Below are 17,697 nucleotides of genomic sequence, written 5' to 3' on the forward strand. Positions count from 1 at the left end.
CATTGTCTCTTCAACAGTCCACTATTCTGGTTGCCAAACTATTACATTCCTTCCATGTTTTGAACATACTTTCCATCTCCACAAAGGAATCGGTTCTATTCTGTCCTATCTCATCATTGCATATGGCTGAAGACCAGGGTCATCAAGAATGTATAGTAGTTTCTCATGCATCTGGATATGGCCCCTGTTGGTCCAATGACCTATCAACTAAAATGGCAAGTTGTCTGCCACCACATACCTGACATGGGGGGAGAATACCCACAATAAACATGCCCAATCCAAAGGAGAAAGTCAGAAGGCATACAGCAGTCACTGGTTGGTGATATTCTGAAATCTCACTGAGTAGCTATTTTGAAAACACTTTACTTTAGGGTTCTGAGAGATTCTTGATTGGACCTTTGTCTCTTTTTCTGGGGAAAAATCTCCCTTACACATGTCCATGTAAACCCTAGGTTCTGATAAGGTACTCCTTGTCCGTGAATCTGCCTGTCCACATCTGAAATGGGAATTCCTTAGAAGGTGACCATCTCATGATAATGGAAACCCAAGTCTTGCTTTAGATGTGAAACAGCCAGATCTCCTTGACAATTGTTTAGAAACAACTCTCAAACTATGTTTTTCATCTCCTCTCACCCACAGCAAACATCAAAAAAGAAGGCTTCTGTGACCAAATGTGAGCGGAGGGAGCTTTTCCCCCCACCAAGCAACTCCTCAGTGGATACCAAGTGGGTATCCTCCAATTAACTCCAACACTATCTACCTGTCAGATCTCACATGTTGAGTACTCAGTCCCCTAAACTTCTCTTGATTTCAGACACCAGTCACAAATCTAAGCCTCCAGAAATTCCAACCAACTGGCTTCAAGTTGGGCCTTCCAAAATCCCCTCTTTGGGCTCAATTAATTCGCTAGAGTGGCTTACAGAACTTAGGAAAATACTTCTCTTTACTAGTTTATTATAGAGGAAATTACAAAGGATACAGATGAAGAGATGCATAGGGTGAGGTATGGGGGAAGGGGTATGGAGCTTCCATGCCCTCCCTGGGCTTGCCACCCTCTAGGAACCTCCACATGTTCATCTATCTGGAGGCTCCCTGAACCCCATCCTTTTGGGGTTTTATGGAGGCTTCATTACATAGTCACAATTGACAACCGTGTAGAAATGTGACTGGACAAATAACACATAATCTAAACCCAATGAGGCTTGTCTCTTCAGACTTTTCTTGGCCTCTTTGTGTAGCATTCTTTCTTCTAGGGTAGGAGCAGGGACCTTCTTTGGAATGAGAACTTTTTTTTTTTCTTTTTTTTGAGACAGAGTCTTTCTTTGTTGCCAGGCTGGAGTGCAGTGGCACGATCTTGGCTCACTGCAACCTCTGCCTCCTGGATTCAAGCGATTCTCCTGGATTCAAGCGATTCTCTTGCCTCAGCCTCCCGAGTAGCCGAGACTACAGGCACACACACACCACCACACCCAGGTAATTTTCGTATTTTTTAGTAGACATGGGGTTTCACCATGTTAGCCAGGATGGTCTCGATCTCTTGACCTCAAGTGATCCGCCCGCCTTGGCCTCCCAAAATGCTGGGATTACAGGTGTGAGCCACCATGCCCTGATGGAATGAGAATATTTTGAACTACAATCAGATTAGAGTCTTGCCTGTGGAAGAAGGACAGGAGAATTTCAGAGAGAGAAAGAGAGTTTCTGTTCCATGAGGTCTGCTCCTGAGGCCTAAAGTGCCCCAGCATTATAATAGAAGGGTATAAAAGGGGCTATGGGAGTTATCAACCAGGAATCATCAACAAAATCACAATATACTTCCGTCAAAAATGTAGTAGCCTTCTTATCTATGTACTTCCTGTCAGTTCCTTGTGACAGAAACCATACCCATTGCTCTTTCCTTGATTTAAATCTCAAGATTAATTAGTTCCTTGTTCCCATCATCATGTGTCTTTCTCAAAAGAATGTTGTTTACCTTAAGATGATCTGGTTCTCTGGTTCTTTAAGTTGTAACACCACAACAATAAAGTTCTAGGATAGAACTTTTTTTGTTTTAAAAAACGTATTTTTAAATGCCATGAAATTTAATGTGGCCCTCGGAAGTCTGAAGTGGGAGAATAATGCATTGACAAAGTTTACTGAACTGGCAATTCCTTTTCCTCCCACCTACAGTCTCCAAGCTGCCACTCTTCCTGCTCTCTCTGTCTCTCTTAAGGGCTAAAGATGCAATGTTTCTGGCTTCAGGGATCACTGGAACTATTTATTTCTTTAAAAATGGTTTTTATGTCATAGCACATATGATAAACCTTAATATTTCATGATACACTTAATGATATTGTACTGCATACCCAGGCTAATAGAAGAGGCTAGTCTCAATTTGCAGCAATAGCTCTGGCTGTGTAAGGCACTCACAATCAGATACAGTAGGGAATTTGCATCTTGGGCATATATGTCACCTGTACCCAGCTTGATTTGGGAGATTATGCAACTCATATCAACTTCAGGATAGCACTCACTTCTACAGAAGGAGGTAAAGGAAATGGATGGTCAGGATGGAATAGGAGGCTCAATTGTATTTATAGTGGTTTGAAACATGTTTACAAATTATTTGATGCTTTCTCATCAAATGACAGAGTTAATTTTCTCCCCTTGAATCTGATTGTCCTTACTGACTCCTTAGGAATAAAACATTGTTGAAATGATAGATGTGACACAGAAAGATAAGCCATACAAGATATTTGTAGTTTTCATCTTGTCTCTCAGAGCACTCACTTGGAGAGAAAGCCAGCTGACTTGTGAGGACACCCAGGCAGCCCTATTGAGAGATCCATGTGGGGAGAAACTAAGGCTTCCTAGCTAAGTCATGTGAGTGAGCAAACTTGAAGCTCGATTTCCCAACCCCAGTGAAAGTTTCAGATGACTGCACCTCTGGCCGCAAACTTGTGAGAGACTTCAAGCCAGAAGCATCCCACTAGGCAACTCCTAAATTCCTGAGCCTCAGAAACTGTGAGAAAATAAATGTTATGGTTTTACATCACTTATTTTGGGAGCGATATATTATGAAGCAATTCATTAACTAAAACAATATTTGTAATGTTTTATGCTCAGAAAATCTAAAGCAAATATGTGAAAATAGGATAAATTAGGGTAGGTGGCAGGTACATGAATGCCACTGAACCTGTTTATTTAACACTTATATTGAATTTACTATGTTTCCTTCATTGTTCTATAATGCATTTAATTCTTATGAGTACTCTATGTGAAAGATACCCTTCATTTTACAGATGAGTAAAATGGAGTCTAGAGAGATGCTATACATTGTCAAAGGTCACCAATGAATAAGTAGCACATACAGAATTCATACCTGGACAGTATTACTCTGTGGTTTCTAGTTTTAGCATTACACTATTTTATGGATTATAACAATGTCAGTTATTTGCAAATCTTTGAAATATTTCATAAATCATGAAAACTTAAATGATGAGATCCTTTTTTCCATCATTTTGATAGCCTTTTGTATATGCAAAGATTTATAATTTGTCTTTGTTAACTTTTTGGGCAAAAGGAGAAAAATTTAAAGATTAGAATGGAAAAAAAAGAAAATAAAAATAATTTTATATTCAGCAGCATATTAAGAAACTATTTGTTTATTTCCTAAAACATTAAGGCCAGAGTTTTTGCCTTCCATGGTTCAGGGGTGATTTAAAATTTGATGACTTTCTTCCTGAAAATCATATTTATGTGTCCTGTCAGGCCTTGAGCCCAAGCTAAGCCATCATATCCCCTGTGACCTGCACATACACATCCAGATGGCCGGTTCCTGCCTTAACTGATGACATTCCACCACAAAAGAAGTGAAAATGGCCTGTTCCTGCCTTAACTGATGACATTATCTTGTGAAATTCCTTCTCCTGGCTCATCCTGGCTCAAAAGCTCCCCTACTGAGCACCTTGTGACCTCCCACTCCTGCCAGCCAGAGAACAACCCCCTTTGACTAATTTTCCTTTACCTACCCAAATCCTATAAAACGGCACCACCCCTATCTCCCTTCACTGACTCTCTTTTCAGACTCAGCCCGCCTGCATCCAGGTGAAATAAACAGCCTTGTTGCTCACACAAATCCTGTTTGGTGGTCTCTTCACACGGACGCGAGTGAAATTTGGTGCCGTGACTGGGATCAGGGGACCTCCCTTGGGAGATCAATCCCCTGTCCTACTCTTTGCTCCATGAGAAAGATCCACCTACAACCTCAGGTCCTCAGACTGACCAGCCCAAGGAACATCTCACCAATTTCAAATCCAGTAAGCGGCCTCTTTTTACTCTCTTCTCCAACCTCCCTCACTATCCCTCAACCTCTTTCTCCTTTCAAGCTTGGCGCCACACTTCAATCTCTCCCTTCTGTTAATTTCAGTTCCTTTCATTTTCGGGTAGAGACAAAGGAGACACATTTTATCTGTGGACCCAAAACTCCGGCGCCGGTCACGGACTCGGGAAGACAGCCTTACCTTGGTGTTTAATCATCGCCGAGATGCCTCTTGGATTATTCACCCACGTTCCACTGGTGTCTGATCTCCGCAGGGGTGCCTTCCTTGATCATTCGCCCATGTTCCCTTGGTGGCAAGTCAATTGCAAGGACGCCTGCTTTGGCTGCTCACCCACGTTGCAGCCCAGGGCTGCTCCCCACCCCCTTCTCCGTGTCTCTACCCTTCTCTTTAAACTTGCCTCCTTCACTATGGGCAACCTTCCACCCTCCATTCCTCCTTCTTCTCTCTTAGCCTGTGTTCTTAAGAACTTAAAACCTCTTCAACTCTCGCCTGACCTAAAATCTAAGCATCTTATTTTATTCTGCAACACCGCTTGGCCCCAATACAAACTTGACAAAGGCTCTAAAATAGCCACAGAACGGCACTTTCGATTTTTCCATCCCACAAGATCTCGATAATTCTTGTCGTAAAATGGGCAAATGGTCTGAGGTGCCTGACGTCCAGGCATTCTTTTACACATTGTTCTCTCCGTACTCTCTGTTCCCAATGTGACTCATCCCAAATCCTCCTTCTTTCCCTCCCGCCTGTCCTCTCAGTCCCAACCCCAAGCGTCGCTGAGTCTTTCTAATCTTCCTTTTCTACAGACCCATCTGACCTCTCTCCTCCTCCCCAGGCTGCTCCTCGCCAGGCCAAGCCAGGTCAAGCCAGGTCCCAATTCTTCCTCAGCCTCTGCTCCCCCACCCTATAATCCTTTTATCACCTCCCCTCCTCACACCCAGTCCGGCTTATAGTTTCGTTCCGCGACGCGACTAGCCCTCCTCCACCTGACCAGCAATTTCCTCTTAAAAAGGAGGCTGGAGCTAAAGGCATAGTCAAGGTTAATGCTTCTTTTTCTTTATCCGACCTCTCCCAAATCAGTTAGCATTTAGGCTCTTTCATCAAATATGAAAAACCCAGCCCAGTTCATGGCTCGTTCGGCAGCAACCCTGAGACGCTTTACAGCCCAAGACCCTAAAATGTCAAAAGGCCGTCTTATTCTCAATATACATTTTATTACCCAATCCGCTCCTGACATTAAATAAAACTCCAAAAATTAAATTCCGGCCCTCAAACCTCACAACAGGACTTAATTAACCTCACCTTCAAGTTATACAATAATAGAGTAGAGGCAGCCAAGTAGCAATGTATTTCTGAGTTGCAATTTCTTGCCTCCACTGTGAGACAAACCCCAGCCACATCTCCAGCACACAAGAACTCCAAACGCCCAAACCGCAGCTGCCAGGGGTTCCTCCAGAACCTCCTCCCCCAGGAGCTTGCTACAAGTGCCAGAAATCTGGCCACTAGGCCAAGGAATGCCCACAGCCCAGGATTCCTCCTAAGCTGTGTCCCATCTGTGTAGGACCCCACTGAAAATCGGACTGTTCAACTCACCTGGCAGCCACTTCCACAGCCCCTGGAACTCTGGCCCAAGGCTCTCTGATTGACTCCTTCCCAGATCTTCTTGGCTTAGCGGCTGAAGACTGATGTTGCCGGATCGCCTCGGAAGCCTACAAGACCATCACAGACGCTCTAGGTAACTCTCACAGTGGAAGGTAAGTCCGTCCCCTTCTTAATCAATACGGAGGCTACCCACTCCACATTACCTTCTTTTCAAGGGCCTGTTTCCCTTGCCTCCATAACTGTTGCAGGTATTGACAGCCAGGTTTCTAAACCTCTTAAAACTCCCCAACTCTGGTGCCAACTTAGACAATACTCTTTTAAGCACTCCTTTTAGTTATCTCCACCTGCCCAGTTCCCTTATTAGGTGGAGACACTTATCTGCTTCCCTGACTATTCCTAGACTATAGCCACATCTCACTGCCGCCCTTCTTCCCAATCCAAAGCCTCCTTTGCATCCTCCTCTTGCATCCCACCTTAACCCACAAGTATAAGATACCTCTACTCCCTCCTTGGTGACTGATCATGCACCCCTTACCATCTCATTAAAACCTAATCACCCTTTACCCCTCCACTCAATACCAATATCCCATCCCACAGCACGCTTTAAAAGGATTAAAGCCTGTTATCACTCACCTGCTACAGCATGGCCTTTTAAAGCCTATAAACTCTCCTTACAATTCCCCCATTTTACCTGTCCAAAAACTGGACAAGTCTTACAGGTTAGTTCAGGATCTGTGCCTTATCAACCAAATTGTTTTGCCTATCCACCACATGGTGCCAAACCCATGTACTCTCCTATCCTCAATACCTCCCTCCACAACCCATTATTCTGTTCTGGATCTCAAACATGCTTTCTTTACTATTCCTTTGCACCCTTCATCCCAGCCTCTCTTTGCTTTCACTTGGACTGACCCTGACACCCATCAGGCTCAGCAAATTACCTGGGCTGTACTGCCTCAAGGCTTCACAGACAGCCGCCATTACTTCAGTCAAGCCCAAATTTCTTCCTCATCTGTTACCTATCTTGGCGTAATTCTCATAAAAACACACGTGCTCTCACTGCTGATCATGTCTGACTAATCTCCCAAACCTCAATCCCTTCCACAAAACAACTCCTTTCCTTCCTAGGCATGGTTAGTGCGGTCAGAATTCTTACACAAGAGCCGGGACCGCGCCCTGTAGCCTTTCTGTCCAAACAACTTGACCTTACTGTTTTAGCCTAGCCCTCAGGTCTGCGTGCAGTGGCTGCCGCTGCTTTAATAATTTTAGAGGCCCTAAAAATCACAAACTATGCTCAACTCACTCTCTACAGTTCTCATAACTTCCAAAATCTATTTACTTCCTCACACCTGATGCATATACTTTCTGCTCCCCAGCTCCTTCAGCTGTACTCACTGTTTGTTGAGTCTCCCACAATTACCATTGTTCCTGGCCCGGACTTCAATTCGGCCTCCCACAGTATTCCGGATACCACACCTGACCCCCATGACTGTATCTCTCTGATCCACCTGACATTCACCCCATTTCCCCATATTTCCTTCTTTCCTGTTCCTCACCCTGATCACACTTGGTTTATTGATGGCAGTTCCACCAGGCCTAATCGCCACACACCAGCAAAGGCAGGCTATGCTATAGTGCAAGCCACTAGCCCGCCTCTTAGAACCTCTCATTTCCTTTCCATTGTGGAAATCTATCCTCAAGGAAATCACTTCTCAGTGTTCCAGCTGCTATTCTACTACCCCTCAGGGATTATTCAGGCCCCCTCCCTTCCCTACACAACAAGCTCGAGGATTTGCCCCACCCAGGACTGGCAAATTAGCTTTACTCAACATGCCCCGAGTCAGGAAACTAAAATACCTCTTAGTCTAGGTAGACACTTTCACTGGATAGGTAGAGGCCTTTCCCACAGGATCTGAGAAGGTCACCGCAGTCATTTCTTCCCTTCTGTCAGACATAATTCCTCGGTTTGGCCTTCCCACCTCTATATAGTCCGATATCAGACCGGCCTTTATTAGTCAAATCAGCCAAGCAGTTTTTCAGGCTCTTGGTATTCAGTAAAACCTTTATATCCCTTACACTCCTCAGTCTTAAGGAAAAGCAGAACGGACTAAAGGTCTTTTAAAAACGCACCTCACCAAGCTCAGCCACCAACTTAAAAAGGACTGGACAATACTTTTACCACTCTCCCTTCTCAGAATTCAGGCCTGTCCTCGGAATGCTACAAGGTACAGCCCATTTCAGCTCATGTATAGACGCTTTTTATTAGGCCCCAGTCTCATCCCAGACACCAGATCAACCTAGACTGCGCCCCAAAAAACTTGTCATCCCTACTATCTTCTGTCTAGTCATACTCCTATTCACCATTCTCAACTACTCATAAATGCCCTGCTCTTGTTTACACTGCCGGTTTACACCGTTTCTCTAAGCCATCACAGCTGATCTCCTCGTGCTATCCCCAAACCGCCACTCTTAACTCTTAAAGTAAATAAATAATCTTTGCTGGCAAGGCTATGCTGAACCTCCTTAGGCACTCTCTAATTAGATGTCCTAGGTCCTCCCAATTCTTAGTCCTTTAATACCTGCTTTTCTCCTTCTCTTATTCCATTTAGTTTTTCAATTCATACAAAACCATATCCAGGCCATCACCAATAATTCTACATGACAAATGTTTCTTCTAACAACCCCACAATATCACCCCTTACCACAAAATCTTCCTTCAGCTTAATCTCTCCCACTCTAGGTTCCCACGCCGCCCCTAATCCTGCTCGAAGCAGCCCTGAGAAACATCGCCCATTATCTCTCCATACCACCCCCAAAAATTTTTTGCCGTCCCAACACTTTACCACTATTTCGTTTTATTTTTCTTATTAATATAAGAAGACAGGAATGTCAGGCCTCTGAGCCCAAGCTAAGCCATCATATCCCCTGTGACCTGCACATACACATCCAGATGGCCAGTTTCTGCCTTAACTGATGACATTCCACCGCAAAAGAAGTGAAAATGGCCTGTTCCTGCCTTAACTGATGACATTATCTTGTGAAATTCCTTCTCCCGGCTCATCCTGGCTCAAAAGCTCCCCTACTGAGCACCTTGTGACCCCCACTCCTGCCAGCCAGAGAACAACCCCCCACTTTGACTGTAATTTTCCTTTACCTACCCAAATCCTATAAAACGGCTATCTCAACCTATCCCACCCCTATCTCCCTTTGCTGACTCTCTTTTCAGACTCAGCCCGCCTGCACCCAGGTGAAATAAACAGCCTTGTTGCTCACACAAAACCTGTTTGGTGGTCTCTTCACACAGATGCGAGTGAAATGTACCATTATTGGTTGTCAGATATTTCCTTTTCTTTTTAGGAAGTAAAGTGCCTCCAGGAAAATCCACATCCTAACTGGTAAGAGCCTACTTACAACAAGTGCACCTTGACGGGAAGGCATTGATATTCGAAAGGAAGAGAAATTCTAGATACAATACAGAGTCTATTGCTTGAATCTATCTCTAAACTCAGACTTGGGTTAATCCAATGAAAAGTAGGAAATTTTACTGAAACCCAACAGATTTGCATTGCTATAAAACTCTGTAAAATGACCAAGTGCCAGGAGGCTTTATCATACCTTGGTTGTGGCAGAAGACTCTGGAATCCCAGGAACAGAGTATAATTTTGAGGGTATCAGAGCAAGAAAGGAAAGCAGAAAGCTTTGCTGTAATCTACACACACAAACACAAAGTGGTTTACTAAAGCCATCTGCAATTTCAAGGCAATCAGTACACTCAGTAATTCAAAACTGTTTATTGAGATCTAAGATATGGAAGCCAGTGTGCTGACTCCAAAGGTATAAAGGACCAGCAAGAAAGTAGACACTTTAACTGCAAATATAATGGAGTAGACAGACAGGTAATTAAAATCTAGTGTGATAAAGGATCTTCTTGAGAGAAATTATTATGTCTTGAGGGCAAGAAAGGGAACTAATTAAGTTTGCATTTTAAAAATTGTTAAGAATAGATGTAGGATGGGATAGAGGGTACCTTAGAGATGCAAGGATTGTGGAGGAATACTTTCATATGTTTTATGATGAATTGAAAGAAGATAATATTCTACTTCCTGTGCAAGTCATATATATGTTTGACACATTCTAAAGCAGACCTAACTTAGGGATCATTTAGATTTGAGTGGTAAGAGATAGAAAGTAATGAGGATAATTCTCATGTTTCTCACTTACCTAAGTTTTATTCTATTTAAACAAAGTAGAAATTAGTCATAGCAGGAACACTCTGAGTGTTCATAATTTTTTAAATGAGTGAACTCAGCAGCTTTGATAATATAATTAGACATATGTAACAATACCCATCTACCTGGGTTGGCTTTATAAAATGTAGATATCAATACTTGGAAAACAAGTTATCCTTTCATGTTTATTCATTAACAATAGTATGTCCTTCATCTTAAGTAGTCATACATCTTGCTCTTTCTTGATTGGAACCTTAAAGCTAAAAATGACATATGGACCTCTTTGTATCCATATAATTAACAACAAACAGATATAATTGTTTGAATAATTTTAACTACAGAACTGTGTTAATTTCAATTCAACTGAATGCAGAGTAGTAGACTAACAAGAAGCTCTTTAAGCTACAAAGAATTAAGCAAAACAATTATAAAATCAATTTGACATCGCAACAATGATACATATTTCTGCATTTCAGACATAGCTAGAATGGAGAACCACTTATAGGATAATAATTTACATTAAAATAAAAGGTATAATCAAATAAAAGAATAATAAAATAAAAATGCAGCGTGAAAATATAAGTAGGTACTGCTGTTTAATTATATGTTTTATGAAAATGCTTAATGTTTTAGAAAAATGAGAAACAGAAAAATTGCTCTTTTCATTCAATTTGTTGTAGATTTCTTTCTGCATTCTTTATGAGCTCTTGTAAGAGATATATTTCTGTTATTGTAAACGTACTTTGTTACTTTCTATCTAATGTTATAAATTTGCTTTATATGGTTTCAATGTTCTGAAATTAACCCTCTCTATGAGATTTATGATTATTTAGCAAAATTTTTATCAAAAACATCCACTCATTTATATTTTCTTGGAGGGGTTTAGTTTCAAGGGCCCCTTTAAACATTGATAAAGGTCATTAACTTACAGGTAATATCTTACTTTTTAATTGGTGTGTGTGTGGGTGTGTATGTGTGTGTGTGTGTGTGTTTCAGGGGAAGAATTGTAAAGTGAACATATTACTTCCTCTCCTGTGGCTGGACTTTGATTACTATTGGGTCACTGAAGGAAGTACAAAAGCGTGTTCTTGGGCGAAAAGTAAATTAAACCCACAAAGATGTAGTCTACAAGAATTAATGGTGAAAAAAAATCAAGGAAGATTTTTGATAAGCCTATATAAGTATTAATCATCAAAATGATATAAATAAGCTGGGTGGGTCTAAAAAATCTATACTCATTTTGTCACATCATTCAAGAGTAAAATAGATATGTTTAAATTTACCTTATAGTTTATTAATAATGTATGTATTTTAAAATTCATCTTTAAAAGTATGGATATAGAAAGTGTAACACAAATAAGTAAAGTTACGTAGTAGAATCAACCAAATTATTTTACTAGATGAACAGAAAATAGTTTGTATTAATGAAAAGCAATGGAAATCAAGGTAAGTAAACAAAGTATGACAAAGAGATTCAAAATACCTCTATAAACATGATAAAAATAAATGAATTAGGCTGGGCATGATGGCTTATGTCTGTAATCCCATCCCTTTGGGAGGCTGAGGCGGGTGGATCACCCGAGGTCAGGAGTTCGAGACCAGCCTGGCCAACATGGTGAAAGCCCGTCTCTACTAAAAATACAAAAAAAATTTAGCTGGGCATGGTGGCAGGTTCCTGTAATCCCAGCAACTCAGGAGGCTGAGTCAGGAGAATCGCTTGAACCTGGGAGGTGGAGGTTGCAGTGAGCCGAGATTGCACCATTGTACTCCAGCCTGGGTGACAAGAGTGAAACTCTGTCTCACAAAATTAATTAATTAATTAATTAATTAAATGCACGAGTGGGTGAAAAAAAGGAGAGTTGTAAGATCTAAAGTATAACATGCTCTATATAAATATTTTGAACGGAATAAAAATACTATGTTTTTGTTGGATACATGCATTTGGAATACCTGTACAAAAACACGGTAGGAAAAATACACAGCAAATACTAAACAACACTTACTCTTTAGAAAAGAAAGATAAAGAAAAATTACTTATAGCGGTTTATGTTATTTAGTAGTAAGTTAACTTTTACTAATTCTGGGTGATTCAGACATGCGTGCTTATTATGTTTTATATGTGCGTTTCTTTGTGTTTCAAATGTTTCACAATTACAAAGGTTGATACTGTGTACCTTAAAATGTAGACTAATCTTACGTAGATCTAAAAGACCTAGGTATCATCCAGGATCAGAATACCTTTTGTTTCGTTGTTCTGTCATCCCTTTAGTGTATGGTACTTGTTTACTTCTTCAAAGATGGCCTCTAACCAGCAAGAAGGAGGGAAAAAAAAGATGTAATAAGAAGCTATCTTTTAAAGACATGACACTTCAGTTGCAGAGATCATTTTTTGTTTATAAATCAGCAGCCAGAACTTAGTCATTTGATCAAACTTACATGCAAGGAAGGCTGATAGAGTCTTAAGCTGAGTGAACCAGTGTTCCGATTAATACTTTGTGGTTCTATCACTAATACACCGAACAGAAGGATGAAAACTGCATAAGCACATTTGCATTATAAGCACATTTTTCAACAAAATCATTAATACAGCGTTTCTAAAAGCATAGGCTTGGACCACAGACTGTTCAGAAAAGTTCCCTTTTTCTAGGGGTAAAGGAGGTATAATTTTATGCTTCTGGGTCAGAATGTTTTAGCAAACAGCAGTTTAACATAGTAGGACTTTATGCTTATGCAAACTTTATCTCACCACCCTCCTCCCAGAAAAAAAAAAAAAAATCAGCATGCTGAGTGCTGAGTTTTAGTTTTAATAAGCAAAAATCAGCAGCCCAGCAGCCTTTAACGGGCTTGAGGGACAAGTGTGATTATTTTTACAAGGATATTTCATGAATTAAATGAAAAGAATCATATTATTCCTGAGCACCAATCTCCATGAGAAAGAGCAAAACTAGAACAGGTGAGTTATTCCCTCTCCAGAGCAAATTTTATTTTAAATAAAAGCAGTGCCCCATAATTTAAGTAGGCAATTCAATTCAACTTTGATTCCTTAGAAGAAACTGAAGATTAACTAATGTACTATTGTATTAGTATCGGTAAACTTCTTAAGGAAAAACGCTATTGAATGTGTCAATATTAGATTACCTTCATTACATTGTTAAACTCATAACCCTGCTACAAAAGAATCTCAGCTGGACAGGATGTTACAATTTGTTGCATTGTTGTCATCAAATAAAAACCTTCCTTGAGCTTCCATGTGTTGGTGATGATAGCAGCTACTCTGATTTCAGCCATCTAAATATGGTCTGAAATTTTCAGACCTCTTGACTGTCCAATGTATGTGTCACTTATGAAGAATAAGGTGAAATTTTAAATTTATTTAAAGTCTAGGTGTCCATAATTTGGTTGTAAAATATGATTATTTTCTAAAAGTTGCAAGTGCAATACTACAACTTTTTAATATATTTTTAAAGTTTAATTACTAATAGCTATTTTCTGCCTTCAAGAAAAATATCAAAAGCAGAAAGTGTACCAAAGGCACAAGAAAGTACTGATGTGTTTTAAGACAGCCAAGTTCTGCAATTTCATGTTAAAGTTTTGTGAGTTGAAGTTGGCTTAACACAGATATTTTCCAGAGAGGGAGAATTGGCAGATATGAACAGACTGGCATGGTACTAATGAAAAAATGAACTGGTTCAAGTGGTTGGAAAGTAAACAATATGTGTTTGTATGTTATTATCCATTAATGATCCGAGAGGTATAATTGGAAGCTACGAATGACTTTCATAACTTAAAGAGTAAATGAGTTTCCTAAATCACGTGTTACATTGTACTATTCAGTTGAGAGAGCCTTCTCCTATTTGAAAATGTGAACATTATATGAATGTATAATTTTAAAAGTGGAAAAGTAGTGCATGTTAAATATTAAATATTAAAATTTGCATAATTATAATACAGTATTTCTTTCCAAGTATCTTGTGAAATAAAAATTTAAAAATTTTACTCAATGTGTTATTTTAGGTACAAGTCAAAGCTTCCAGGTAGTTCATCAATAGTGTGGCGTACTTTACAGTAATTTGAATGCAATTACGCAAAACTGCTATCACAGCTTTGGAAGACATTATGTGAGAGAGCAGAAAAAAAATAAAATAATTTTCTAAAAGACATAGTGAATGCTAGAAAACTAATGAAGACTTCAGGTGCATTTTAAGCTGTCCTCAAAATGCTAAGACATGTTTCTATTTGCAAACAGCAGCAAAACATATATAACCAATTTTCTCTTATTTCAAACAATTTTAGTGTCACACACACACCTTCCATAGAAAATCAATTGATATTTTAACTTACATTTATTCTTAGAATTAGCTATGCTTGATTATAGAAACATTATTTTGGTTTTGGAAAGCATCAATAATAAAGCCCTCCCTTTTCTCCATGAAATTGATACTGGCTCTCTGAAGCATGAAGATTATTCTTAAATAATATTCCTGTGAGTTTAAATAAATTTCATGATAATGTGGCTTAATAAACCATGATTTCCCCTTCTAGAAAACACAATTCCTCCTGGAGGGTGAATAATTTAGCATTGCTTAACACACATTCTCACTTTAAAAAGGAAAAACTGAGTACACATTCACTGTGCATCTTATTTCAGTCTTTCAACAATGAGAGAGAAAACATGATGATGGATTTAACTGGCCAGCACTACAAATCCACAGGATTCAAAATGTACCATAACTAAGAAAGTCACAAGCCAGGAGGCTTAGCAAATCCAGTGGGTTCCATGACTCTTCAAATATTTTCAGAGAGCTTATCGCTTAAGCTCATAACCCTGATATGTAAAATAGAAGAAAAATTCTTGGCCCTTCTTTCCAGAGCCCATTCAAAAGTGTGGAGAAGAGTAGTCTAGAAGTTACGTCAGTTGAAACATTTCAAATTTCTTTGTCTCAATGTGAAGCAGAGCTAGGAGGATTCGCTAACCTTCATTTCAGAATTAATATTCCCAGAATGCACGTGTTCTAGATATGTTGATTACCTGTGCTAAGAAGAAATGTAAAGAAAGGCAAAGCATGTTTAAAAGTTATAAACACATTCTGGTTCCAGGAAATGAAGAAAATTTAAAAGGCACATATTAAGAAGTAAGATTAAGGGCTGAAAGCAGCCAATTATCCCACTGTAATATTAATACATGAAAATTTTCCACTATATATATATATATATATATATAACTACTTTAACATTTTTTTTCCTTTTAACTCTAAACATTTTGTCAGTTTGTGTGGGAAAAAAATAGACCTGCCACAGCTTACTGTGGAACAGCTATTATTTCCATGAGTTTTGATTTACCAAATACGTAAATTTAAACCTAGTTTTAAAACTAATTTAATGGTGATGGTCCATTTGTATTTCTCTAGCTTGTTTACTAAAGACATTGTGTTAATGTTTAAATCTCATTTCTCATTTTAAAATGAAACTCAAAAGATTTACATCTATGGTGGTATTTTTAAAAATATGCACACACAAAACCTTTATGAAGCCAAAAATAATTGAACAATTATATTTCTGAGAAGCTGCAGAACAGTAGCTTTAATAACGGGCTTTAAGCTTTAATTTGCCAAGTTGTTTTAGTACCCAAAGAAAGATATGTACTCCTGAAACTTGCATTTAAGATTCTAAGATTGACTTCTTTCCTTTAAAATGCAGGGCTATCAGTGTTGCTGTATTAATGGTATAATAAGAAGGGAAAAGTGTCAGTGAATACAGCAACAGCCAAACCAGCTCAACTAGGATTGCAGAAAATGGTATCTGCCTTTAGCTTGATCGTGGTAAACATTTTATTCAAGATCAAACTTTTCAAAATTCCAATTGGTCAAATAAAAGAAGAAATTGATCCTCACTGACTTTTGGAGGATATAAATAAAAAGAAAAAAGATACCACTAGACTCAAATAATTCACATTTCACTCATCCACTGTCAAACTTCAATTAATGAATATTGTTGAAATTTAATGTGTGAACAAATGTTTATATAACTTCTTATGAAAGTTAAAATTTTTACATAGAATATTGTATCCTTTTCAAATTTGTCTCTAGAGTAAAATACAATAGAAAATTTCTTGTATATTTATGTACATTTTTGTTTTCAAGGCTGTAGTGCAATGTACACTTCTAAAAGAATTTGGTGTCTGCATAAACTGTGTCTACATGGAGAAATCTCCAGTTTCAGAGAATATTTGATGAAAAAATGTAAAGGTAAACTGGATAAACACAATTACATGAATAATTCTAATGGATAAAATAATAATGACTAGGTAAGAAGTGTAATTCACCTGAGGGTTGGTAGTACCTTGTGCGATCATCATGTTTTGGGATGCATTACTAAAGGAATCTTTCAAGATTTTATTATTTTTCTTTTCCTTTTTTTCTTTTCTCTTCCTTCCGTTCTTTCCTTCCTTCCTTCCTTCCCTCCTTCTCTCCCTCCCTCCCTCCCCTCCTTCCTTCCTTCCTCCCTCCCTCTCTTTCTCTCTTTTTTTCTTTCTTCCTTTCTTTCTTCCTTTCTTTCTTTCTCTTCCTCTCTTTCCTTTTCTTCTTTCTTTCCTTTTTTTTTCTTTCTTTTGACAGGGTCTCTATATTCCAGGCTAAAGTGCTGTGGTGCAATCATAGCTCCCTGCAACCTCTAACTCTTGGGCTCAAGGGATTCTCCCACCCCAACCTCTCAAGTAACCTCTCTTAAATTGCCCTTTCTTAGTCTTCTCTGTGAATGATTCTCCCTCTGAGTGTCGTTTGGATGTTGGACTTCTTTTCTCCTCTACTGAGTCCTATTTCAGGTCTTCTGCCTAGTATTTAAATCCAACTAGCCTGCACCCTACTAGATAATGTTACTTGCTGAAAATAAATTAATAAATAAAACAGTAAAAATGAACAGGTTATAGAAAAAAATGATGAGAGTGACTGAGACAACTTACAATAAAGTGATAAAGAAATGCCTCTTTGGGAGGGACCACTTAAACATGGGCCAATATTATGTTACTCATGTGGCTCACATCCATAGGAAAATTAGAAGCAACATAAAGAATGCTGGCAAAATCCCCAGGGTAAGAGTGTATATGATGCATCTGAGCCAAAAAGTATCAAAAAAAAAAATAAAATAAAATAGAGCAAAAAGAGAGCAAAAGAAGAGTGCCATGAGAAGTTGAGAAGGCATACAGGAGCCAAGATCATGAAAATCTTGAAATGAAGGATGTTTGGTTATACTCCAGTAGCACCAGAAAGACATTAACGGGGTTAAAAAATAAAGTGTAGCAAATGTATTCATTTATTAACTCATTTGTTTTTTCCAAAGAAATTTGCCTCATTCCTATGTGCCCAGCACTGGGTAAGTGCTGGGGCTATGATGTAAAAAAACAAAAAACACCATTTTGTTCTCATGAAACTTACAGTTTAGCGAGGACTGGAATATTAAACGAATATACATATGTAAATCCAAACTGATATTTGCTCTGAATGAAAGAAATATGGTTTCAAAAGGATTATAATATAGAATCTGACACAGATTAA

General features: G+C 38.9%; 1 long non-coding RNA gene across 1 annotated transcript in view; it reads right to left on the reverse strand.

Moving 5' to 3' along the window:
- LINC01695 (long intergenic non-protein coding RNA 1695) overlaps positions 1 to 17,697 on the reverse strand; it is a 112,574-nt gene that overhangs the window by 41,599 nt on the left and 53,278 nt on the right. Inside the window, exons 4-5 of the long non-coding RNA NR_126012.1 lie at positions 12,386 to 12,451; positions 5,910 to 6,025 (exon numbers count right to left, since the gene is read on the reverse strand). This is a non-coding gene — a long non-coding RNA (long intergenic non-protein coding RNA 1695). The remainder of the gene's footprint in view (positions 1 to 5,909; positions 6,026 to 12,385; positions 12,452 to 17,697) is intronic.

This window comes from Homo sapiens, chromosome 21 (genome assembly GCF_000001405.40).
Source record: "Homo sapiens chromosome 21, GRCh38.p14 Primary Assembly".
Classification (NCBI taxonomy): domain Eukaryota; kingdom Metazoa; phylum Chordata; class Mammalia; order Primates; family Hominidae; genus Homo; species Homo sapiens.